Source organism: Homo sapiens, chromosome 8 (genome assembly GCF_000001405.40).
Source record: "Homo sapiens chromosome 8, GRCh38.p14 Primary Assembly".
Taxonomy (NCBI): Eukaryota; Metazoa; Chordata; class Mammalia; order Primates; family Hominidae; genus Homo; species Homo sapiens.
In genome coordinates, this window is record NC_000008.11 from 38,840,204 (window position 1) to 38,865,519 (window position 25,316).

Here is a 25,316-nt window from a genome sequence, read left to right on the forward strand (position 1 = left end):
GTTCTTTTTTTCTCATTTAGGAAAATTGTAGCTGAATATGAAAAGACTATTGCTCAAATGATTGGTAAGGAGAACATTTTGTTTTTTGAGGGTATGAGCCATAGGATCTGTCTTAGTCTGTTCAGCCTGGTATAACAAAATATGTAAGCTAGGTAGCTTATAAACAACAAACATTTTTCATAGCTCTGGAGACAGGAGAGTTCAAGGTGCCCACAGATGAGATGTCTGGGGAGGGCCCATTCCTCATAGAAGGGGCTGGCTAGCTCTCTGGGGTCTCTTTTATAAGGACACTAATCCTGACATAATCACCTCCCAAATTCCCTTCCATGCCCACTTTCACCCTGAACATACTCACACACTGGGGATTAGGTTTCAATACACAAATTTGGGGTTGGGGGGTGGCATAAACTATAAGACCATAGCCGGATCCATTTATGATTTTCAGACCATGTCACAAACTTGTATTTGTCTGTCACTTAGATACAGTCGTCTCATTATTCGTGGGAGGTATGTTCTGTAAAGTTGCTGCAAACACTGAGTTAGTGAATACTAAACACTGCTCCTGGCCTGGCATGGTGTCTCACGCCTGTAATCCCAGCACTTTGGGAGGCTTGGGTAGGTGGATCACCTGAGGTTGAGAGTTCGAAAACAGCCTGACCAACATGGAGAAACCCCGTCTCTACTAATAATACAAAATTAGCTGGGCGTGGTGGTGCATGCCTGTAATCCCAGCTACTCGGGAGGCTGAGGCAGGAGAATCGCTTGAACCTGGGAGGCGGAAGTTATGGTGAGCCGAGATCGTGCCACTGCACTCCAGCCTGGGCAATGAGCAAAATTCCATCTCAAAAAATAAATAAGTAAATAAACACTGCTCCTAGGGAAAAGACAGAGTTAGAGTCTTGCATCTGGCCACAACATTTTCATTGATTGATCAGTATATAACCTTGTTTTACGTGTGTTCCTGTTTAAAGACACCTTATTTAATATATATAGTTGATTCATTAACATTGAGCTCACAGTCAGCGGCACTTTGGCTCACGTCTGAACAGAGCTTCTGTAATGTATGTATTTTAAGGAACCTTACTGCCTTCTTGTGCTTGGTATCACTAGACAGCACTGTGGCACTGCCCTTGGAGGCCACTTAAAACAGTGAAGTCTCCGGCAAAAAGAACACAAGTGCAACAAACATGGCCTGAATAGACCAAAAGAAGAACACTTGTTTATAGAATGAATCAAGAAGGCAGAGTATTGCTTTGTTCACTGTCAGCTGAGAGCGTGCATATCAGGTGACTAAAGCATTTTTGCACTCTGCACACATCCACAAATGACTGTCAAAGTCCAGGAGGATAGATTTTAGGATTACAAATAAATTTTAGCAAGTAGGTGAATTGGGAGGTATGGACTTGGTGAATAATGAGGGTCAACTGTAGTTAGGTTCATTTTAGAAGATGGCAGGCCTTGAATTCTGTGACTGTTGGTGGCCTGGTCACATCACTAACACCCACTGGGAGCATCCTGTGTTTTGGTGCAGGGTTCTTACTCTAGTGCAGATTGTAATTTCTCTGCATCAGACCCAGCGGTGCCTTTACAAAACAACAGGGATTGATCCTCCTGCATGGAATTTAGAGTCTCTTCTCATCTATATCATAAGGATTGACTCCCTAAACCAGAGTCTGTCCTTTCTCCACTAAATTGCCGAAATGATACTTTCTATCATCCACATCACCTAATGCCTTCCCAGCTCAGGGCCTTACCACAGCTGTTCTTCTCTATGGAATATTCTCCCAGGTAGCTGTATGGCTCACATCCTCATTTCTGTCCGGTCTATGCTCAGATCTCTCCCTGAGAGCAGGTACTCTCTGTACAGTAACAGCCCCCTCCCCGCCCCCATTCCTCCTTACCCTGCCTTGTTCTTTCCCCATCACTTGTTACCACGCGTCTCCCCCAACTAGAGTATAAGCCATAAGAGCGGGAATTTGGTCACATCCCCGGCTGTGTCCCTACCACGAGAACACTGCTTGTCTTCTAAGGAGTGTCTATTTTTTGAATAAATATGTCATTCCTTTTGACTTGTGATTCCCAGAAGATGAACAAAGGACAAGTATGACCTCTCAGAAGAGCTTCCAGCAACTGACCATGGAGAAGGAACAGGCCCTGGCTGACCTTAACTCTGTGGAAAGGTCCCTTTCTGATCTCTTCAGGAGATATGAGAACCTGAAAGGTGTTCTGGAAGGGTTCAAGAAGGTAGAGTGTTTTTTCCCTCTGTCTCCTGGTGTATTTCCAGTAGTGTATTTCCTTGGTAACTGGTCATCAAATACATATGCCAGAGGTTGTGGGTATCCTTTTAAATAGGAGCTCAGGGCCTACTGGCCTTGTATCCTCTATTCCAGTGAAGCTGGATTTTTTTCCACATTTTTCCTTCTTTGGTTGTTCAGGCATCTGGCCCACTGGGTGCCATGTCTTGGCCATTCCTCTCCTGTGTCAAGCCAATAAGCCCCAGGCTGTGGCGTAGACTGCAAGAACTGTTAATTGAACCCTCAGACCTCAGGTGAATTCTAGAAATGTTCTTTCTGGTAATTCACCTTTTCAGTTTTAGTAAAAGGGATTAGAAGGAATTCCATGTCTCTGAAAAATTCAAGCTGCATATTCTAGAAGACATTAGTATAATGTTTCAAATTTAGATGTAAATGGGCCTGTTGATTTAATTTAACTTTACCATATCAACCAGACACAATTATAGCAATGAAATGGCTTTATTTTCATATTAAAATAAAAATGAAACTGGCCAGTTTATCAAATATGGAAATCGAATTGCCATTCAGTTTTGAATAACTGCCTTCCTAAAGTAGGCATATTGGTATAACTGACCCTTACTGTATGATATTGAAAATTAACACATGAAGACATTATGTAGAATTTCCTCAGTGAGAATTACATGTGGCTATTTCAAATTACTGCAGAGTATGAATAAAAGCCATCTGAATTAATTAGATTTTTCCATTCTTTAAAAAATGAAAACTCTGATATGTGGTAGATTAGAAGAAACAAAATGACCTGTTTATTTTCAATTTTTGCTTTGGAACAGAATGAAGAAGCCTTGAAGAAATGTGCTCAGGATTACTTAGCCAGAGTTAAACAAGAGGAGCAGCGATACCAGGCCCTGAAAATCCACGCAGAAGAGAAACTGGACAAGTAAGAGCTTGTAAATGTTGAATTTCACTCTTCATGATGTTGTGGGAAGATTGAGAGAGGAAAACAAAATCACTGTTTCGCAACTCCAGGTTGTATTTTTATGTGTGTGTTTATTTCACTTTTTAAACCCTTTTCCCATTGTTAAAACATTAAAAAGTAAAAAAAGGTATATCTGCTCCTGCCTCCTTCCACTGGGTTCCCATCTTTCTCTATGCCAGGTAATCACCATTGTTGGTTTCTGTTTTTTCTTCCTATTACAATTTTTTTCTTTTTTATATGATTATAGCATACTTCGCTATTTTTGCTTAGCAATATAATTTTGAGAATCTTTCCATGTCAGTGCAAGAAGAGCTTCCTCTTTTTTTTCTAATAGCCACATGGTATTCCATTGTTGGAATGTATCATTTATTTAACAATCCCCTCCTGTTAGACATTAAAGTTAATTCAAATGTCTTGCTGCCACAGACAGTGCTGTAATAAGTGACCTGGTAGGTGATCGTTTTGCATGCCTGTGAGTTATCTTTATGATCTGTATGTTAGAAAAGGAATTGCTAGACCAAAGCATATATGAATTTATAATTATAAGTGTTGTCAGATTGGCCCCATTAGACTTTTATCATTTGATAGCCCTAGATAATATATGAGAGCATCTCTTTTTTCTACAACTGTGCCAATAGGTCAACGTTTTTATTTTCTGCAAATCAAATAGGTGAAAATGGTATTTCAACATAGGTATTTGTTTTTGGCAAGCAACAGAGCATTTATTTATTTATTTTATTATTATTATTATTTTTTGAGACGGAGTTTCTCTCTGTCACCCAGGCTGGAGTGGAGCGGTGCAATCTAGGCTCACTGCAACCTCAGTCTCCCGGGTTCAAGTGATTCTCCTGCCTCAGCCTCCCAAGTAGCTTGGATTACAGGCACACGCCACCACACCCGGCTAATTTTTTGTATTTTTAGTAGAGACAGGGTTTCACCATGTTGGCCAGGCTGGTCTGGAACTCCTGACCTCAGGTGATCCGCCCGCCTCAGCTTCCCAAAGTGCTGGGATTACAGGTGTGAGCCACCGCGCCCAGCCCCAGAGCATTTATTTTAATCAATGTAATTTTGATTTGCATCTATCTTATGAATGAAATTGAATATATTTCACCATTCATTTATTAATATATTTGCTTTACTATGAATTACTCTATTCTTTGCCCATTTTCCTATTGTCATTTTATAGATTTTATATATTAGGGACACCAGCCCTTTGTGATAAGAATTTTGAATAATTTTTCAAGTTTATCATTTGTCTTTTGCGTCCACCTATAGTGTTTTTTGATATTCAGAAATTTACTTTTATGTGCTGAAATGTATTAGTCATTTCTTTTACAGCTTCTGGATTCTTTGTCATAGTAACAAAGATCTTCCCCATGCTGGATAGAAAATATTCTCCCATGTTTTACTTACACTTTATGGCTTAGTTTTTTTAATCCTTAAATCTAATACATTTGGAGTTTATCCTGGGGAGTGTTATCCAACTTGATTTTTTGTTGGTTTTTTTTGAGACAGAGTCTCACTCTGTCACCCATGCTGTAGTGCAGTGGCACAGTGTCAGCTCACTGCAACCTCTGCCTCCTGGGTTCAAGTGACTCTCCTGCTTCAGCCTTCCGAGCAGCTGGGATTACAGGCACCCGCCACCATGCCCAGCTAATTTTTGTATTTTTAGTAGAGACGGGGTTTCGCCATGTTGGGCAGGCTGGTCTCGAACTTCTGACCTCAAGTGATCCGCCCGCCTCGGTCTCCCAAAGTGCAGGATTACAGGCATGAACCACTGAGCCTGGCCTCCCAACTTGACTTTTTAACTAAAAGGTAATACATGCTTGTACATTTTGCTGCCTAAATTTCTATCTGTAGAAGCAGAAGTTCCCCTGTCCCCTTCCCACTCCCATAGTACTGTATTAGATTTCTTATGCATTCTTCTCCATAGGTTTTACAGATGCCTCTATATATTATACGTAGGTTTATTGTATATCCCTCTAGTCGTTTCTTTGTGTCTTTATAAATACTATGATTTTGAACTATAAAAAATATTTACAATATTGGAATCACATTAGACAAATTTCCTTTTTCCCTTAATAGCATATCCTGACCATTTTTTCATGTCAGAACATATAGCTGAATCTAATTCTTTTTATTAGGTCGTGGAACTATAGCATTTCTTTATTGATGGGCACTTAGTTACAAACTTTTTTACATTGAAGGTAACACTACAGCGAACATCCTGTGCACTCACTGTTATGCCAGGTGGGAGTATTTCTGTGAATACATAACTGAAAGTGGCATTGCTGCGTTGGAGGGCATGTACACTTTAAATTGCCCTGGTGACTACCACATTGCCCGCCACAAGGCAGCGCCAGTTTTCAGCCGCCCATTGGCACATGAGCCTGCCTGTCTCCTTGTATCTCGGCCCACACAGGACTGTCCTTGTTAATTTTTGCCAATTCAATCAATTTTCAAAGCTTATCATTTTAATTTACATGCCTCTGATTGCTAATGAGGCTTTAGCATCCTTTCATCAGTTTAATGGCTGTTCATCAACTGACATTTATGGTTTTTAAGAATGCCTTTCAGGCCGGGCGCGGTGGCTCACGCTTGTAATCCCAGCACTTTGGGAGGCCGAGGCGGGTGGATCACGAGGTCAGGAGATCGAGACCACGGTGAAACCCCGTCTCTACTAAAAATAAAAAAAAAAATTAGCCGGGCGTGGTGGCGGGCGCCTGTAGTCCCAGCTACTCGGAGAGGCTGAGGCAGGAGAATGGCGTGAACCCGGGAGGCGGAGCTTGCAGTGAGCCGAGACTGCGCCACTGTACTCCAGCCTGGGTGACAGAGCGAGACTCCATCTCAAAAAAAAAAAAAAAAAAAAAAAAAAAGAATGCCTTTCACATCTCATTAATAAACTCATTCCCTGTAGGCCCGTGTCTCACAGATGTCAGTGGTTAGTATCCCAACTCTAGCTGTGATCGTCTCCAAAATTATGCAGTCTGCTTTTGTACTGGTCTAAAAAAAAAAAAAAAATCTAAGACTGTTATAGAAACCATTTGCTAGTGAGATACAAATTTTGAAGTTGTCTGTAAATTGAATTTTTATAAATTAAAATGGAATTATTTAGGTCACCGATTTTTGTTTTTTTTCTCTCATGCAGTCAATTCTTTGAGGCCTGTGCCTCACAGATGTCAGTGGTTAGTATCCTGACTGGCTTTGACTAGTGGCTAATCATGTGCTTTTTGTCTCTTTATTACACCCAAACACCATAAACAGAGCCAATGAAGAGATTGCTCAGGTTCGAACAAAAGCAAAGGCTGAGAGTGCAGCTCTCCATGCTGGACTCCGCAAAGAGCAGATGAAGGTGGAGTCCCTGGAAAGGGCCCTGCAGCAGAAGGTACAGAAAGGGACCTGATCTGGGTGGCCACAGAGACGTTTGGTTTTCCTCCTCAGCAGTGACTCACTTAATGACAGATCTGGGTGAAAGAGGCCTTGGCTTTCTACTCAGACATTTCAGTCCAGCTCCTTTCTGAACTGATCCAGGTGGAAACAAACAAGTCAAACCATTAAATTTTCAAGCACATCATGTGGAAATCATCCACAGGCAGGGTGCAGAGAGGAAGTTGCATTTTAACTGAAGTTCAGAACAGCTTCCTAGTTGGGGTCATGAGACTGCCTTTCTTTCTTTCTTTGTTTTTTATGCAATATATTAATATGAAGCCATCTTCCCCCTTCATTGCTTTAGATCAGTGGTTTGCAGTTGGGGGCAGTTTTGCCCTCCAGGGGATGTTAGGTGTTAGGTAATGTCTGGAGATATATTTGTTTGGTTGTCACCACTGGGAGATGCTGCTGGTATCTAGTGCAGGAAGCCAGGGATGCTGTTAAACATCCTACAATGCACAGGACAGCCTCTGACAACACATTTACCCATCCTAAAACATCAGCAGGGCTGCTTTGAGAAACTGCTATAGATAAATGAAAACCAGGACTAGCAACAATCCCTGTTTCTCACTAAGCAATTTTTAGCTTTCCGTTTTTATATGTCTCCGGTGTATTTTCTTTACTGCATTTCCAATTATGTACTCATACCTGTGCCATCCATTCATCAAGAGCAGGAGTTTTTATCACAGGGTCTGTTAGCCCCTAGAACGGTGCTCCCTGGGAGATTCAGACTCCAGCATCCCTAGATATGCTAATGGATTGAGTGAGACCCAGATACTTATGTTTTTGACAAGTACCCCAGATAATTCCTCTGATAACAAGAAAATTGGGGAACTAAGAGATTCATGGACAAGTTTCAGAGGGCTGGTGACTGTCCTCACCCTTTACTCAATTTAAGCATGATTTTATGAGTACATTTTTTGAGGTGTGTAGCCTTTTTTTCTTTAAAGCATCTCTGATGTAGAAAAGTTAAAAATCACTGAATTAGGATGTCTAGGGTAGGGTAGATCCAGACTTGGGACTAGTTAACTCTATTTGCCTTTATTTCAGAATACAAAGTGGCCTGCATAATTATGTCATTTGTCTTTCAGAACCAAGAAATTGAAGAACTGACAAAAATCTGTGATGAGCTGATTGCAAAGCTGGGAAAGACTGACTGAGACACTCCCCCTGTTAGCTCAACAGATCTGCATTTGGCTGCTTCTCTTGTGACCACAATTATCTTGCCTTATCCAGGAATAATTGCCCCTTTGCAGAGAAAAAAAAAAACTTAAAAAAAGCACATGCCTACTGCTGCCTGTCCCGCTTTGCTGCCAATGCAACAGCCCTGGAAGAAACCCTAGAGGGTTGCATAGTCTAGAAAGGAGTGTGACCTGACAGTGCTGGAGCCTCCTAGTTTCCCCCTATGAAGGTTCCCTTAGGCTGCTGAGTTTGGGTTTGTGATTTATCTTTAGTTTGTTTTAAAGTCATCTTTACTTTCCCAAATGTGTTAAATTTGTAACTCCTCTTTGGGGTCTTCTCCACCACCTGTCTGATTTTTTTGTGATCTGTTTAATCTTTTAATTTTTTAGTATCAGTGGTTTTATTTAAGGAGACAGTTTGGCCTATTGTTACTTCCAATTTATAATCAAGAAGGGGCTCTGGATCCCCTTTTAAATTACACACACTCTCACACACATACATGTATGTTTATAGATGCTGCTGCTCTTTTCCCTGAAGCATAGTCAAGTAAGAACTGCTCTACAGAAGGACATATTTCCTTGGATGTGAGACCCTATTTTGAAATAGAGTCCTGACTCAGAACACCAACTTAAGAATTTGGGGGATTAAAGATGTGAAGACCACAGTCTTGGGTTTTCATATCTGGAGAAGACTATTTGCCATGACGTTTTGTTGCCCTGGTATTTGGACACTCCTCAGCTTTAATGGGTGTGGCCCCTTTAGGGTTAGTCCTCAGACTAATGATAGTGTCTGCTTTCTGCATGAACGGCAATATGGGACTCCCTCCAAGCTAGGGTTTGGCAAGTCTGCCCTAGAGTCATTTACTCTCCTCTGCCTCCATTTGTTAATACAGAATCAACATTTAGTCTTCATTATCTTTTTTTTTTTTTTTGAGACAGAGTTTCGATCTATTTTAAGTATGTGAAGAAAATCTACTTGTAAAAGGCTCAGATCTTAATTAAAAGGTAATTGTAGCACATTACCAATTATAAGGTGAAGAAATGTTTTTTTCCCAAGTGTGATGCATTGTTCTTCAGATGTTGAAAAGAAAGCAAAAAATACCTTCTAACTTAAGACAGAATTTTTAACAAAATGAGCAGTAAAAGTCACATGAACCACTCCAAAAATCAGTGCATTTTGCATATTTTTAAACAAAGACAGCTTGTTGAATACTGAGAAGAGGAGTGCAAGGAGAAGGTCTGTACTAACAAAGCCAAATTCCTCAAGCTCTTACTGGACTCAGTTCAGAGTGGTGGGCCATTAACCCCAACATGGAATTTTTCCATATAAATCTCAATGAATTCCCTTTCATTTGAATAGGCAAACCCAAATCCATGCAAGTGTTTTAAAGCACTGTCCTGTCTTAATCTTACATGCTGAAAGTCTTCATGGTGATATGCACTATATTCAGTATACGTATGTTTTCCTACTTCTCTTGTAAAACTGTTGCATGATCCAACTTCAGCAATGAATTGTGCCTAGTGGAGAACCTCTATAGATCTTAAAAAATGAATTATTCTTTAGCAGTGTATTACTCACATGGGTGCAATCTTTAGCCCCAGGGAGGTCAATAATGTCTTTTAAAGCCAGAAGTCACATTTTACCAATATGCATTTATCATAATTGGTGCTTAGGCTGTATATTCAAGCCTGTTGTCTTAACATTTTGTATAAAAAAGAACAACAGAAATTATCTGTCATTTGAGAAGTGGCTTGACAATCATTTGAGCTTTGAAAGCAGTCACTGTGGTGTAATATGAATGCTGTCCTAGTGGTCATAGTACCAAGGGCACGTGTCTCCCCTTGGTATAACTGATTTCCTTTTTAGTCCTCTACTGCTAAATAAGTTAATTTTGCATTTTGCAGAAAGAAACATTGATTGCTAAATCTTTTTGCTGCTGTGTTTTGGTGTTTTCATGTTTACTTGTTTTATATTGATCTGTTTTAAGTATGAGAGGCTTATAGTGCCCTCCATTGTAAATCCATAGTCATCTTTTTAAGCTTATTGTGTTTAAGAAAGTAGCTATGTGTTAAACAGAGGTGATGGCAGCCCTTCCCTAGCACACTGGTGGAAGAGACCCCTTAAGAACCTGACCCCAGTGAATGAAGCTGATGCACAGGGAGCACCAAAGGACCTTCGTTAAGTGATAATTGTCCTGGCCTCTCAGCCATGACCGTTATGAGGAAATATCCCCCATTCGAACTTAACAGATGCCTCCTCTCCAAAGAGAATTAAAATCGTAGCTTGTACAGATCAAGAGAATATACTGGGCAGAATGAAGTATGTTTGTTTATTTTTCTTTAAAAATAAAGGATTTTGGAACTCTGGAGAGTAAGAATATAGTATAGAGTTTGCCTCAACACATGTGAGGGCCAAATAACCTGCTAGCTAGGCAGTAATAAACTCTGTTACAGAAGAGAAAAAGGGCCGGGCACAGTGGCTTATTCCTGTAATCCCAACACTGTGGAAGGCCGAGGCAGGAGGATCACTTGAGTCCAGGAGTTTGAAACCTACCTAGGCAACATGGTGAAACCTTGTCTCTACCAAAATAAAAATTAGCTGGGCATGGTGGCACGTGCCTGTGGTCCCAGCTACTTGGGAGGCTGAGGTGGGAGCCTGGGAGGTCAAGGCTGCAGTGAGCCATGATCATGCCACTGCACTCCATCCTGGGTGACAGCAAGATCTTGTCTCAAAAAAAAAAAAAAAAAAAAAAAAACCAGGAGTGAAAAAGGAAAGTAGAAGGCAGCTGCTGGCCTAGATGTTGGTTTGGGAATATTAGGTGATCCTGTTGAGATTCTGGATCCAGAGCAATTTCTTTAGCTTTTGACTTTGCCAAAGTGTAGATAGCCTTTATCCAGCAGTATTTTAAGTGGGGAATGCAACGTGAGGCCAACTGAACAATTCCCCCCGTGGCTGCCCAGATAGTCACAGTCAAGGTTGGAGAGTCTCCTTCCAGCCAGTGACCTACCCAAACCTTTTGTTCTGTAAAACTGCTCTGGAAATACCGGGAAGCCCAGTTTTCTCACGTGGTTTCTAGCTTCTTCAGACTCAGCCCAAATTAGGAAGTGCAGAAGCACATGATGGTGAAAAACCTAGGATTTGGCAGCCTTCCAGAATGGTATGGAATCTGAGGGAAGATTTATGTTTCGTTTTGGAGGATAGCTCAAGTTGAATTTTCTTTCCAGCCAGTTACCCTTTCAACCTACCCATACTTTGTACAACTCTTACACAAATACTTAGATATTTATTAGATAGCCCTGAATTCACTCTAATTATAAACAGGGAGTGTAAACTGCCCCCAGATGTTCCTGGGCTGGGTAAAAGCAGCTGGAGTGAAGCACTCATTTTCCATAAAGGTAACAAAGGGCAGCTCAGTGGTTACTCAAGCTCAAAAGGGTTTTTTTAAGAGCAAGCATTGGTTAAGTCTGTGTATACTGAGTTGGAAGTGATTTCAGCACATTCTTTTTTAGTGGAGTGAAAGTTCTGAAGCCCCCTTTTAACTTCCTCTTGGTTTTTCATTATAATTGGTAGCCATCTCATGAACTGTCTCTGACTGTTGTCTCTTTGTGGTCATGTGATTGTGAGCTTGCTTTCTGACTTGCATTTCTGACTTTATCCTGTTGTTAGGAAGATAGAAACTAGGTTTTGAAAGATTACATGATTCAAGCGAGGGATTTTAAAGTAAAGATGTATTTATTCTGAAGAATCTAAAAGATAACAGATTATTTGCTTATGAAAGAACAATATAGTCTGGGAATCCCAGAATGTCAAGCCAAAGGTCTAAGAAGTCATCTCCTTCAAATACTTTAATAAAGAAGTATTTCGAGGAGATATCTGTCCAAAAAGGTTTGACTGGCCTCCAGATTCCAGTTATTTTTAAAAAGCAACTTACCACTAAATCCTTGAGTCTCCATAGAGTAACAGTAAAGAAACTGATGTAACAGACTCTCCTCTCAAAGGATCTCCTCTGGAAGAGACTATCAGCGGCAGCATTCTCCAGGGAAGACCCATCCCCTAGTGCCAGAGCTTGCATCCTGGAGACTAAAGATTGCACTTTTTTGTAGTTTTTTGTCCAAATGCAATCCCATTTCTGTGCCTCTTAGCATGCAGTTAGATTTGGACAAACAAGATTCCTAAGGAATGACTTTATTAACTATAATATGGTTACAGCTATTATATAAATATATATTCTGGTTATAGTTCTAATATGGAGATGTTGTGTGCAATGCTGGCCTGTGGTGGTCTGTGTAATGCTTTAACTTGTATGGAGGAGGCCAGGCTCAGAGCTGAGATGTGGCCTGAACCTTCCCTGTATCGATCCTTTAATTTAGAACTGTCAAGATGTCACTTTCTCCCCCTCTGCCTTTTAGTGGTATCTGACATATACTCAAAACAGTAATTTCCTGGTCACATCATTAACTGCTAATTCTGTATTTATAAAGAATTTTCAGATGGACATGTACAAATTTGAACTCAAACCATCCCCAGTCCAGATACAGGGCAGCGTGTAGGTGACCACACCAGAGCCTCAGCCTCGGTCCTTCTCAGCCGTCGGGATAGGATCCAGGCATTTCTTTTAAATCTCAGAGGTAGCAGTAAACTTTTCAGTATTGCTGTTAGCAAGTGTGTGTTTGCCAATAGATACCCATTATACTAATGTGCCAAGTAAATGTTCATTGCACATCTGCTTCCACTGTGTTCCCACGGGTGCCATGAAGTGTGTGAGGAGCCCCTCATCTGGAGGGATGAGTGCTGCGTTGACTACTGCTATCAGGATTGTGTTGTGTGGAATATTCATCTACATAAATTTTATATGCACAGTAATTTCCCTTTTTATATGTCAAGTAACTATTTGTAAAAGTTATACTCACAAATTATTATAATGATTACTAATATATTTTTTCCATGTTTCATTGCCTGAATAAAAACTGTTTACCACTGTTAGATTTGGGGGTGTGTGTGGTGTTGGTACTTTTCCTGGTTATAAATTGTATCCCTGAATGTGAAAATTTATGGCAGCCCTGCTTTTATGAGCCCCATATTTCAACCTAAAAATAGGAAAGATCACATTTTCTCTACACTCATTTTGTGCATGTGGTTGGGTGTGTAACTAAAAACAAACTTTGGAATTCAGATACTGCCATGTAGATGTCGTGCCTTTGCATCTGTGCAAACAAAGTTTTTAGCTGGGTGCTTCTTGGTTTTGCTTAGAGACTTGTTGTCTGCCCTGGCATTTTTCAAGTCACCCCAAGCTTTCTGACTCGAAGGACCTGGGGTAAGGCAGAACTATGTAAATAGTGCAGAGCAAAGAGTTGCTGTGTTTTGTTTCTTCTAGGTTCAATGCGGTACCAGGAATAACTTTTTAAATACTGGCTAAGCCAACTCTCCACTTTAAAGGGATAGGAGATTGGGCAGGAAATTTTGTGGGTTGTATTACAGGAAAAGACAAATTAAGAGGATAGTTAAGGCTTCATTTTACAACTAGCTGGAGATCCACTTAGGAAAATCAGAGAACTATCACTTTTCTTGCTGTTTGCCACATCTTAAGACAGTGCAGCCTCTGTCTGCAAATATGCCAAAAGGCATATTTCTCACCCCTGCGCGCCTGAATCACCAGGAGAGAATCTTCTAAAAGTCTCTGATGGAGACTGCCATTTGCAGAATGTGAAACACAGTAGAAATATGTTTCTAAGAATTATTGGGAAGAATAAGATGGAAATTAACCTTGCTACTCTCTTACAGAATTGTATTCTTAGATAATTTAGGACCACCAATGTTTTTCATACTTTTACAAATAGGGGATCATGGGGCCATTTTAGTGAATAGCAATTAAGCGTAAGTATTTCTTCATGGAATCTATTACAGATATAAATGAATATATGTGAACTTGGTCATGACAAAAAATGACTTTCTTGCTGTGGCTAATGGTCAAAGCATGAAAAACCCTGATCTAGCCAACTGAAGTCCTTTTACAATGGAAACAGGCCCAGTGGGAGAAGCAATGAAGTGAAGATCACATGGCTTGTATGTCAGTAAGCATTGTTGCCCTCACTCAAAATGAGGGAAAAAAAATTAATTGCAACTTAGTTCTTTTCAAGCTCTTGAAATCCAAGTCCTAGGTTTAGGTAGTATTTATATCATTTTCCAAGTTTGTAGGCACTTAAGGACCGATGAAAACCAAATACCTTTTTCTCAACACTTACTCATTCATTCACTCATTTATTTGCAGAGTTTAAAGTGAAACATGAAAAGTTTGAGGGACAGTTAGCCAAAGAAATTGTTTTTACATTTTATTGAAACAGCATTTAAATATAAATAATAGGGTAATGAAAATGATTCTTCCCGAGAAGAAAGCCATCCCTAGGTTACATTTCTTGAAAGAAAAAATGTAGTTGTGAGTTGTTGGTTAGTTATTATCTGAGTTATTTCCTGAGAGTGGATAGATAGTGGTGCTTATGATCTATGAGATAAATCTAACCCGGACAGGCCTGTATTTTCCACCTTTTTTCTTTTTTGGAGACAGATTCTCGCTCTGCTGCCCAGGCTGAAGTGCAGTGGCATGATTTCAGCTCACTACAACCTTCACATCCCAGGTTCAAGTGATTCTCCTGCCTCAGCCTCCCAAGTAGCTAGGATTACAGGCGCATGCCGCTACGCCATGCTAATTTTTGTATTTTAGTAGAGAGGAGGTTTCACAATGTTGGTCAGGCTGGTCTCGAACTCCTAACTTCAGATGATCCACCCGCCTCGGCCTCCCAAATTGCTGAGATTACAGGCGTGAGCCACCGCGCCTAGCCCTATTTTCTGCATTTCTGAGAATTAACAAAATGTGCCAAGTTAAGATGTGCAAACTCCTAATCAGAAAACATTCAACTGTGAGACATCATATAGACCAAGAAGACATTTTTGTTTTAGACATCAAAAATGACAGCACAATTAGCTAATTGGGTGCATTCAGGCATAATCACAATATTTTACTAAAATATTAAGGAGTCCAGACAGCGTCTCTTGGATGTGCAACGATGAACATGCCTTCTATTTCACTGTAAGACTGGCACTCTAATTTGTCTTTTATGTAGTCCGTACTTTTCCAGATACGTATTTTTTTCTTTCTCCCTTTCAGTTGATTTGTATAACATCATGAATTTTCAGCAAAAATGCCATGTGTAAAATATGATTCAGTCAAGCATGGTGATTCACGCCTGTAATCCCGGCACTCTGGGAGGCCAACGAGGGTGGCGGATTGCTTGAGCTCAGGATTTTGAGACCAGCCTCTAACATGGCAAAAACCTGTCTCTACAAAAAACACAAAAATTAGCCGGGCATGGTGGTGCACACCTGTAGTCCCAGCTACTCGGGAGGCTGAGGTGGGAAGATTGCTTGAGCTGGAGGTCGAGGCTCCAGTGAGCCATGATTGCACCTCCGCACTCCAGCCTGGGCGCCAGAGCAAGACCCTATCTCAAAAAATTTTTTTTTTATATTAAAAATTTTTTAAATAAGCAAAATATGATTTTACTTCCTGTGTCAACTTTCAGTGCAAATGTGTATGAGTGGTCACAGGGGGCCTCCATTCCCAAAGGCTTATTCTCTCTCGGGCCACGTCTTTCAAACTGCAGGTCAAAACCCATTTTAGAGGTTATGAATTAGAACAGAAGAATGAACGCTTGTAAAAGCAAATAGTGAAGATGTAAGTGCTGTTTCATGAAATTTTATTACACTTACATGATACCATATATGGGTAATGAGTTGTAATTTTAAACATCTTGGTTTGGGGGCCTAAAAGTTAAAAAAAGCAAGTTTAAAAAAGCTTAAAAGCCACTAACTTTAGGTCATGGGGAGACAGTTGTTGGATCAGTCAAGGATTTTATAGGAGTTAAAAACAATGATTGCAATCTCCATTTGTTAAAAGTAAGCTACAGAGTTAGAACACAGTAATCCACAACCACAGTTTATGGCAACTTGAAGAAATCAAAACTTCAGAACGGAAACATGAAGCTGCGTTCAGAAAACACAACCTAAAAATTCCTTTCTAATCCTCAGTTGAGATGGAAAGAAGAAAAGAGAACGTTAGAACGGGAGTACATAAAGAATAAAAGCCTGTGGACCTAACAAGCCCTCTAGAAAATAAAGTCTACTAAAAAATAAGAAATGTAAAATTCTTCCTTCCCTCTGCCGTCCCAACATAAACTCATCCTCCTCCTCGAGGCAGCAGAGGGCGAGCTACTCAGGTTCAGAGACACATTTCTGTTTTGCTGCCACTGCCAAAAACTAACCCGACTCTCAACTGAAAAAATGAAACCTCCTCTGTTAGAAGCAAAAATTCTCCTTGATTACAACTTCTTAGACTTAAATTTCTTTGCACAGTTCAATTCTAAATTACAATTGTTCCTATCTGCTGTAGACAAGATCTTTCATTTAAATCTTAACTAGATGTTGGTGTCTGTTCTTCGATGCCACACTTCAACTGAGTAACTGCAAGGCAATGAATACGTGTGTATGAAGTAAGTGACCAAGTCTTGAGGTTCCACATATTTTCAGAAACGTGGTCAGATTTGAAGTTGAATCTGAGGGTTTGAGTTAAGGAAATAAGCTTAAGGAGACAAGATCATTCACCACAATGTCACACAGGCAGAAATCAGATACAAATCAGAGAATGCCAGAGGTGTGATAAAATAGTTGGTCAATTGGGGCCAGGCACAGTGGCTCATGCCTGTAATCCCAGCACTTTGGGAGGCTGAAGCGGGTGGATCACGAGGTCAAGAGATCGAGACCATACTGGCCAACATGGTGAAACCCCGTCTCTACTAAAAACACAAAAGTTAGCCCGGCGTGGTGGTGCATGCCTGTAAACCCAGCTACTCGGGAGGCTGAGGCAGGAGAATCACTTCAACCTGGGAGGCTGAGGTTGCAGTGAGCCGAGATCGCCCCACCGCACTCCAGCCTGGTGACAAGAGTGAGACTCCGTCTCAAAAAAAAAAAAAAGAAAAAAAAAATATATATATATATATTTGGTCAATTGGGATGTTTGTGGAAATTAATTTCTCTAAACATTTAAAAATTATTTTGGAATCATTTTAGATTTGCAGAAAAGTTGCAAAGATTCTCTTAACTTTCCTTCCTTTCGTGGCTAGCTCTATATTTCCACCCTTTCCTTGTTCTTCCTTTTTTTTTTTTTTTTTTTTTTTTTGACAGAGTTCTTTCTCTGTCACACAGGCTGGAGTGCAGTGGTACAATTATAGCTCACTGCAGCCTTGACCTCCTGGGCTCAAGTGAGCCTTCCCCCTAAGCCTTGTGAGTAGCTAGGACTACAGGTGCACGCCACTGCACCTGCCTGTTTTTTTTTTAATTGTAGAGATGGGGTCTTGATACGTTGTCTAGGGCGGTCTTGAACTCCACAGCCCATCCTGGGCTCAAGTGATCCACTCACCTTGGCCTCCCAAAGTGCTGGGATTACAGGTGTGAGCCACCACACCCAGCCTCTTCCTTATTTTGTATCCTGCTGGTGTTTGGCTATTAACTGGGCATTTGCCATGTGCAGAGTCCTGGGTAGGCGCTGATGGGAGAAAGCTATCTTCCCCCTGCACACCTCTCTTTATACAAGCACTATTATGAGGAAAGGCTATGAACTCCTCAGCCCTACTTTAAAAACAAGCATTACTGTGGTTATAGCAAAGTGGTGGTATCGTGGGCCATCTCTTTTCCAATAAGATATACTTAATATATTTTTAAAGCTATAAAAGGTCAAATCAATACTTGGTAATTTGCCATAGACGAAAACAAGGCCGCTTTCTTTTCCTCCCTGCATCTTCTATACAAAGAGCTTGGGTCAAGTTGAGAAGAGAGCTGGGTTTGAAACCTTGGCCTGTGACCTGGGGCCCTGGGACAGTCACTCTAATGCTGTGGACCTCTTTCCTCACCAGTATATCTATAAAATACCAGAACTTTGGGCCAGGTGCAGTGGCTCACGCCTGTAATCCCAGCACTTTGGGAGGCCGAGGCGGGTGGATCACCTGAGGTCAGGAGTTCGAGACCAGCCTGGCCAACGTGGTGAAACCCCATCTCTACTAAAAATACAAAAAGTTAGCCGGGTGTGGTGGCAGGCGCCTGTAATCCCAGCTACTCAGGAGGCTGAGGCAGGATAATCGCTTGAACCTGGGAGGCGGAGGTTGTGGTGAGCCGAGATGGTACCATTGCACTCCAGCCTGGGCAACAAAAGCAAAACTCCATCTCAAAAAAACAAAAAATAAACAAACAAAAAAAACAGAACTTTGGACTCTATGTTCTTAAAACTGTGTATGTGTTTAGGTGTTCTAACATTTTAAATTTGTCTTTAAAACTTGGAGCTCTTTTCCAACCTCTTCTCAGGTTTCCTTCTTATTCCAGAGACATTCTCCTGACACAGCTGTTCTCCTAATTTATTTGGTTATAGTCCTGCATTGAGAAATGCTACTTTTTATGGAATTCCTGTTTGAAAGTCCACTATCTAAATTTGCCTGAGTCCTAAATGAAATCAGATCCTAGCACCCCCACCAAAAAAAAGAAATGGAATTATGAACTCCGAAGCAAAAATATAGCTGTACCTTTGTGTGTGTAACTTTAGTAACTTGGTGTTCAAACACACATGATCGTCAGGGAGGAGAGAGATCACTTGGCTGGAGGCAAGTGCTTTTGTTCTGTTTGGGAGACAATATGAGGGAAGGGGAGGGAGGCGTGGGTACCAGGAGGCAAAGTAGGCAGCATCTGTAGATTCCAGTTGGGCCCATTTCAATTGTGTAGGTGGATCAAATGCTGGGCCTATTTGTGCTTTTGGACAGCGATCTGCCATTTTCCTAATGCTGGAAAATTCCTAATTCTGGTCTACAAAATTGACCAATGCCAGTATAATATAATTCAACATTTTCCTAGCTTGTTTAGAAGAGGCATGTTGCAATGTGACTTTGATCACATTTTTTGATCAGCAGATAAATCTATCTTTATTTATAATTCTGTTTTGTTCTAAGAAGGATTTAAGGCAGTTTGCAGGCAGGGTATAGAACCATCGATGTCACTTAAGATTGTCAGTTAATAGTGATGATGACAAAGGACTCGATGCAGTTGGGTCCAGTCACTTCCACCCCACCCACATGACAGGCATGGCCAAGACAGCCATTATCTTGTCATCACTGCAAATGGAATCTTCCTGAAATGATTAGCAAGTCACTTTCCTAAAATGAGAATGACTTTTACATTTTTATTTATTTGTTCATTTTTTTAGAGACAGGGCCTCGCTCTGTAGCCCAGGCTGGAGTGCAGTGGCACAATCATAGGTTACTCCTGGGCTCAAGTGATTCTCCTGCCTCAGCCTCCCGAGTAGCTAGGACTACAGGCTCACACAACTCATTTTTTAATTTTTTCTAGAGACAGGGATCTCAAGGACAACTTTGCCCGTGCCCACTTCTACATGGTGACTGAGCACCTGGGAAAAAAAAAAAAAGATAGCATCTCACTATGTTGCCCAGACTGGTCTGGAACTCCTGGGCCCAAGCAATCCTCCTGCCTTGGGCCTCTCCAGAGTGCTGGGATTACAGGCATGAGCCACTGCACCCAGCTGGCTTTTACATTTTTTAATGGTGGAGGAAAAAAAAAAATCAAAACAAGAATGACATTTGATGTCAAATGAAAATTACATTGAATTTAAATTTTAGTGTCCATGCATAAGATCTGTTTATAACACAGCTACACACATTTGTTTACATACTGCCTATGTCTGCTTTTTTGTACAACATAATCAAGCAGTTGTAACAGAGGCCATATGGCCCACAAGGTGTATAATATTTACTATTTGGTCCTTTAAAAAATGGATTTGCCAGCCCTTGTTTTTTTTTTTTTTTAAAGAGGGAACCTCGCTCTGTTGCCCAGGCTGGAGTGCAGTGGCGCGATCTCGCTCACTGCAACTTCCACCTCCTGGTTTCAAGCAATTCTCCTGCCTCAGCCTGAGTAGCTGGGATTACAGAAGCCCACCATCACACCCAGCCAATTTTTGTATTTTAGTAGAGACAAGATTTCGCCATGTTGGCCAGGCTGGTCTTGAACTCCTGACCGCAAGTGATGGCCCGCCTCGGCCTCCCAAAGTGCTGGGATTACAGGCGTGAGCCACCCCTGTTAGAGCCCAGCCCCCTGTTCTAATTTATTCATTATTCAACTGACTTATTGGCAGTGTACTATGTTTGTTGTGCTTGGGTTCTTGGTGCTTGATTACTGTTCTCAGTGCTGGAGTTAGAAAGTTCCTAACCTTAATGGACTTTATACTGTAGGTGACATCAAAAATTATATCATAGTAAATTGAGTCCTATCATGTAGATATTAACAAGAATCATTAACATGGACATGCTTTCTAGGTGCCAAGCACTACTCTAAGGATTTCATATGCACGAATTTACTTAATCCTCACAATAACTATGCAGTCTTCAAGGAATCTTTAGAAGAGGATATAACCATGACCTTCATACAGATACACAAAATCAACCCATGTCAAAGATTTTATTAAGCTCATTAGTTAATCAGGGAACCAGGAAATGTTATAAGTGGTTCAAAGAAGAATTCAAAAAAATATATAGAAAATAAGGAATTGCGAAATAAATGTATACATAGATGAAAAATGGGTCTGTCCTCAAGGCCATTATCATTCTATTGGAGGCAGTCCATTTGCATTTCTATGGACAACTGTCATTTACGGAGTTGCACAAGAGCTCAAAGACAATAAAAGACAGAGATTCTGGGTGCGGTGGCTTGGTGGCTCACGCCTGTAATCCCAGAACTCTGGGAGGTTGAAGCAGGAAGATCGCTTGAGGTCAGAACTTTGAGACCAGCCTGGGTGACATAATGAGACCCCAAGTCTACAGAAAAAAAAAAAAAAAAGACGGAGATAACACAGATAGGTGAGCAAGTCTAAGAAGATTTTCTTGCCTATTTCAGTCTCAGTTTTTTTCTGATAGAAGTCAGTACTACAGTATGTCCATACAATATATTTGTATAGACTGAAGATGTCCTTGATGACATTACAGGCATACCTCCCTTTATTGCACTTCACTTTATTGTGCTTTGCAGGCTGTTTTTTACAAAATGTGGCAAGCCTGCATTGAGCGGGTCTACCGGTGCCGTTTTCCCAAGAGCATGTGCTCACTTTGCGTCCCTCTGTTACATTTTGGGAATTATTTTACAATATTTCAAACGTTTTCATTATTATTATATCTGTTATGGTGATCTACGATCAGTGCTCTTTGACGTTACTATTGTCTTTGTTTTGGGGTGCCACAATCCACATCCACATAAGATGGTGAACTTAATAAATGTTGTGTGTGGTCAGACTGCTCCACTGACCAGTGTTCCTCCATCTCTCTCCCTCTCCTTGGGCCTCCCTATTCCTTGAGACACAACAATATTGAAATTAATAACACTACCATGTCCTCTAAGTAAAGTGAAAGGAAATGTGTCATATGTCTGTCTCTTACTTTAAATCAAAAGCAAGAAATGATTGAACTTAGGAAGACATGTTGAAAGCCAAGACAGGCTGAAACTGAGGCTTCCTGGCCAAACAGCCGTGAGTGAATGCAAAGACATTTCTAAAGGAAATTTAAAATGCTACTCCAAGGCCAGACGTGGTGGCTCACACCTATAAATCCAGCTGAGACGGGAGGATTCCCTGAGTCCAGGAGTTCGAGACCAGCCTGGGCAACATAGGGAAATCCCATCTCCAAAAAAAATAATAGGCCAGGCGCAGTGGCTCACGCCTGTAATCCTAGCACTTTGGGAGGCCAAGGCGGGAGGATCACGAGGTCAGGAGATTGAGACCATCCTGGCCAACATGGTGAGACCCCATCTCTACTAAAATACAAAAAAAAAAAAAAAAAAAATTAGCCGGGCATGGCGGGGGTGTCTGTAGTCCCAGCTACTCGGGAACCTGAGGCAGGAGAACCGCTTGAACCCAGGAGGCAGAGGTTGCAGTGAGCTGAGTTTGTGCCACTGCACTCCAGGCTGGTGACAGAGTGAGACTCCGTCTCAAAAATAATAATAAAATAAAAATTAATTTAAAAATGAAAATAAGCTATTCTACCTCTAGCTTTACCTATTTCTGACAACAACAAACAAACAAAACCACATTTCTTCCTCTTATGCAGAGAAATTCAATGATGCTTCCATGTGATCTTTTTCAGGCTTTGTTTTCACTCCCATCTTTTAATACCTAAATGCCCCTTCAAGATAATTTCCTAAACAAAAACAATTCCCTTCTTTAGAGAAATTCCTGCAGAGGAGTCTTTACACACATTTTTAACACTGAAAGATGACCTTGAATTCACTCTAATTTATATTTTCAAAGCCACTTTCAAACTTTGGTTTCCTGAGTGTCAATTACTAATAAATTACTTGCAATATGCCCCCGAGTCATTGAGAAGCACTCCTCTAATTGTCCAGTTTTGCACATGTGTTAGATTACAGATTGATTTCAAGGTTCCAGAGTACTGTTTCTGTACTTGTCTCCTTACAACCAGAGCATCTGACAAAGGGTTTGCTGCATGTAATAGACTAAAAGAAACTGTTGGCTGAACCTCTTTTCTAGGACTTGGTATTGTAGAACTGCTCTGGAATTGGTGAAGTGTTTCTTCACTGTCCTCCACAGCACTGGTTTACAACGTTTGCCAGATAATGTTGGCCAAGTTGTGATTTGATAGGGAACAAAACCCAGAAGGAGCCATGATTCCACCCCACAGCTAAATGCTTGGAATGGAACGCTTTGTTTCCTAAACATCTGAAGTTATCAAATCAACCTTCTTGCCTCTTCTTTTGTTTTCTTTGCAAAAGTGAGATCCTGAAGGGCCACAGCTGCTATATGACCTCAAGTGACCACGTCAGTTAATTCCTCAAATTAGTGCCTCTGTTTTTAATGGTGCAGAAAGATCCAAGCTCAGAAAATCAAAGAAGAGAATTGGCACGGGGAGCTTGTCTCCACAGTGTTGCAACAGAGCTGAAGTCAGAAGTGGACTGAGCAACTTGACATGCCCAAGTAGTGAAGGAGTTCAGGACCTGCCACCCCAAAATACGCTGCCTTGGCATATTAATTATTTTGGGCTAAATGCACTTCAAAAAGAGCAGGTGCGGCTGGGCACAGTGGCTCATGCCTGTAATCCCAACACTTTGGGAGGCTGAGGCGGGTGGATCACTTGAGGTCAGGAGTTCGAGAACAGCCTGGCCAACATGGTGAAACCCCGTCTTGACTAAAAATACAAAAATTAGTCAGGTGTGGTGACTCATGCCTGTAATTCCAGCTACTTGGGAGACTGAGGCAGGAGAATCACTTGAACCTGGGAGGCGGAGGTAGCGGTGAGCCAAGATTGCGCCACTGCACTCCAGCCTGAACGACAGAGGGAGACTCCGTCTCAAAACAACAAAAAAAAACCTAGCAGGTGCAAGAAGGACTCCGATCTCCCTTTTTCCTCCTGAAAGCAGGAGATGAAACTCTCCCATGAGAGATGCCCTTCCTAAACTAGGAGGAAACCAGCATTCTTATCACTAGAGATGAGGAGTCAAAACTGAGAGAAAACTACAAACAAACTTTGTGACACTAACCCTTATCTTTCTGGTTACTTTTCCACAATTTACTACTCTTCATTCAACTTAGTAGAGAAAGCTTCAGCTCTCTGTATAAACTGCTTCTCTGTGCCTTTATTTTTCTTGTGAGGGCTCCCATGCACATGTCAATCAATCACGTCAATCAAATCTGTGTGCTTTTCTCTTGTCACTCTGCATGATGTCAGTCCCAGCGGGAGACTCCAGGAGCGGGGAGGAAAATCTGACCTTCCTTCCAGTATGAACGGAAGAAAATGACTACCTGAAGCTCCCATCATGATACTGACGGGTCAAAGCAATGCCACTTTCTGCTGGCCAGAAGGTATTATTGCCAAAGGGCAAGACCCTTAAAGATGATCTAGTATTGCTCTGTGATTTTATGGATGAAAGATATTAATAGCAAAGTGACCATCCAAGGCTACACGGTAACTTGGTGGCAGTGGTAGGATTATTACTTACGGATTCTTTCCATGCAGCCACTTCACTTTTCTTGATGTATATAAGAAAAATAAGGAGGCTGAGGTGGGAGGATCACTTGAGCCAAGGAGTTCGAGGCCTGCCTGGGGAACACAGGGAGACCCTTTCTCTGCAAAAAGTACAAAAAAGGCACTGGAGCTCTCGGTGGCAGAAGAGAACTTGATTGGCCTGCTTTTCTTACTGTGGCTGCCAGGCTCCTGTCAGCCGCTCAGTGAGAAAGCTGCTCTCACCCTTGCTCAGCCTTGGTGCTGGTCCTCTACCCAACTCTGCACCTGTCTTGCTGGTGCTGATCTGCCTTGTCAGGGCTGCCTGGCTTCCCTGCGGATGGCACCAGGGCAGGACAATGATGCCTCTGGATGAGCTTCCCCACCCTGACCTCTGTGGGCTTTGTTCAGCCTAGTCGGCCTCGCCTTGGCTACAGCCCAGGGAAGATTTGAGAAGTGGGAATTTCAGGAAGCTGGGGAAATCTTTTTTGGTGGGGGGACAGTGTCTCGCTGTGTTTCCCAGGCTGGAGTACAGTGGAACAATCATAGCTCACTGCAGCCTCCAGCACCCAGGCTTAAGCCATCCTCTGGCCTCAGCCTCCCTAGTAGCTGGGACCACAGGTGTGTTGGACCACATGTAGCTAATGTTTTAATTTTTTGTAGAGACAGGGTCTTGCTATGTTGCCCAGGCTGGTCTCGAATCTTTGGGCTCAAGCAATCTGCCCACCTTGGCCTCCCAAAGTGCTGGAATTACTGGCATGAACCACCATGCCTGCTCGGGGAAATCTTTTAACAGACAGTAGAATCTGTTTGAATATGAGCTGTTGAGAAATGGGGAAGTTGGTGGGTGAGAGAGCATCGAGTTGGGGGTTTGTGACGGGAACAGAATAGGAATCAGTCTGACTGGACACTTGAAAGAAGTTTCCTTAAAATATGAAAATAATTTTGCAGAGGAATGTTTACACAAAAAACGATCTAAAGAAAAAACAGCTTACACACTGGAATCAAAATGTCACTTGATTCCCAGAGGGAATGAGCTCAGAAGTTAAAAAGAAAGGGATCCTTTCCAACTATTAAATGTATTTTTAAAGGCCCTTTCGGGTTTAAATTGGTTCCCGGAAGAACACAGGCACTTATCCCAGGGGAGGTATCTTTGCAGATGCAAATAGAAGGGCCCAGAAGCTCACCATTCAGAATGGGGGTGGCGGGGGCAGAGGACAGAGGGCAGGGAGGTCAACCAGAAATACTCCATCAATGGTGGTTTCAGCCGATAAATTCAGCCAGATTTTAAGATCAAGCATTTGGAATTTGAGAACTTCCCACAAGGGTTGCTTTTGTTTATCCTACTTCCCTGGCTGTTGGAGTTCGCAG

The 25,316-nt window shown here is 41.6% G+C and overlaps 1 protein-coding gene across 50 annotated transcripts in view, besides 6 other annotated features; it reads left to right on the forward strand.

Annotated features, from left to right (window-relative positions):
• The window catches only part of TACC1 (transforming acidic coiled-coil containing protein 1), a 124,447-nt gene extending 111,622 nt beyond the window's left edge, over positions 1–12,825 (forward strand). For 47 of the 50 annotated variants that reach the window (NR_148051.2, NR_148049.2, XM_047422141.1 and 44 more), the window contains 5 exons: positions 21–64; positions 2,084–2,244; positions 3,086–3,192; positions 6,496–6,616; positions 7,752–12,825. Coding sequence is in view for 48 of the 50 variants with exons in the window: in XM_047422141.1 (XP_047278097.1) it covers positions 21–64; positions 2,084–2,244; positions 3,086–3,192; positions 6,496–6,616; positions 7,752–7,820 (502 nt within the window). In the remaining 2 variants the exon portion in view is untranslated. The remainder of the gene's footprint in view (positions 1–20; positions 65–2,083; positions 2,245–3,085; positions 3,193–6,495; positions 6,617–7,751) is intronic. The other 3 variants (NM_001352794.2, NM_001352799.2, NM_001352793.2) reach the window with 1 other exon arrangement.
• Positions 16,158–16,217: an enhancer, noted in NCBI's record as "active region_27263". NCBI's record gives its function as "activates an Ori minimal core promoter by ATAC-STARR-seq in GM12878 lymphoblastoid cells {active_cell/tissue: GM12878}" and the evidence as "EXISTENCE:reporter gene assay evidence [ECO:0000049][PMID:35858748]".
• Positions 21,077–21,577: an enhancer, noted in NCBI's record as "H3K27ac hESC enhancer chr8:38718798-38719298 (GRCh37/hg19 assembly coordinates)". NCBI's record gives its function as "activates a minimal SCP1, AML or CMV promoter by ChIP-STARR-seq in naive H9 embryonic stem cells {active_cell/tissue: H9 hESC(naive)}" and the evidence as "EXISTENCE:reporter gene assay evidence [ECO:0000049][PMID:30033119]".
• Positions 21,578–22,078: an enhancer, noted in NCBI's record as "H3K27ac hESC enhancer chr8:38719299-38719799 (GRCh37/hg19 assembly coordinates)". NCBI's record gives its function as "activates a minimal SCP1, AML or CMV promoter by ChIP-STARR-seq in naive H9 embryonic stem cells {active_cell/tissue: H9 hESC(naive)}" and the evidence as "EXISTENCE:reporter gene assay evidence [ECO:0000049][PMID:30033119]".
• Positions 23,833–24,333: an enhancer, noted in NCBI's record as "H3K4me1 hESC enhancer chr8:38721554-38722054 (GRCh37/hg19 assembly coordinates)". NCBI's record gives its function as "activates a minimal SCP1, AML or CMV promoter by ChIP-STARR-seq in naive H9 embryonic stem cells {active_cell/tissue: H9 hESC(naive)}" and the evidence as "EXISTENCE:reporter gene assay evidence [ECO:0000049][PMID:30033119]".
• Positions 24,334–24,834: an enhancer, noted in NCBI's record as "H3K4me1 hESC enhancer chr8:38722055-38722555 (GRCh37/hg19 assembly coordinates)". NCBI's record gives its function as "activates a minimal SCP1, AML or CMV promoter by ChIP-STARR-seq in naive H9 embryonic stem cells {active_cell/tissue: H9 hESC(naive)}" and the evidence as "EXISTENCE:reporter gene assay evidence [ECO:0000049][PMID:30033119]".
• Positions 24,696–24,745: an enhancer, noted in NCBI's record as "active region_27264". NCBI's record gives its function as "activates an Ori minimal core promoter by ATAC-STARR-seq in GM12878 lymphoblastoid cells {active_cell/tissue: GM12878}" and the evidence as "EXISTENCE:reporter gene assay evidence [ECO:0000049][PMID:35858748]".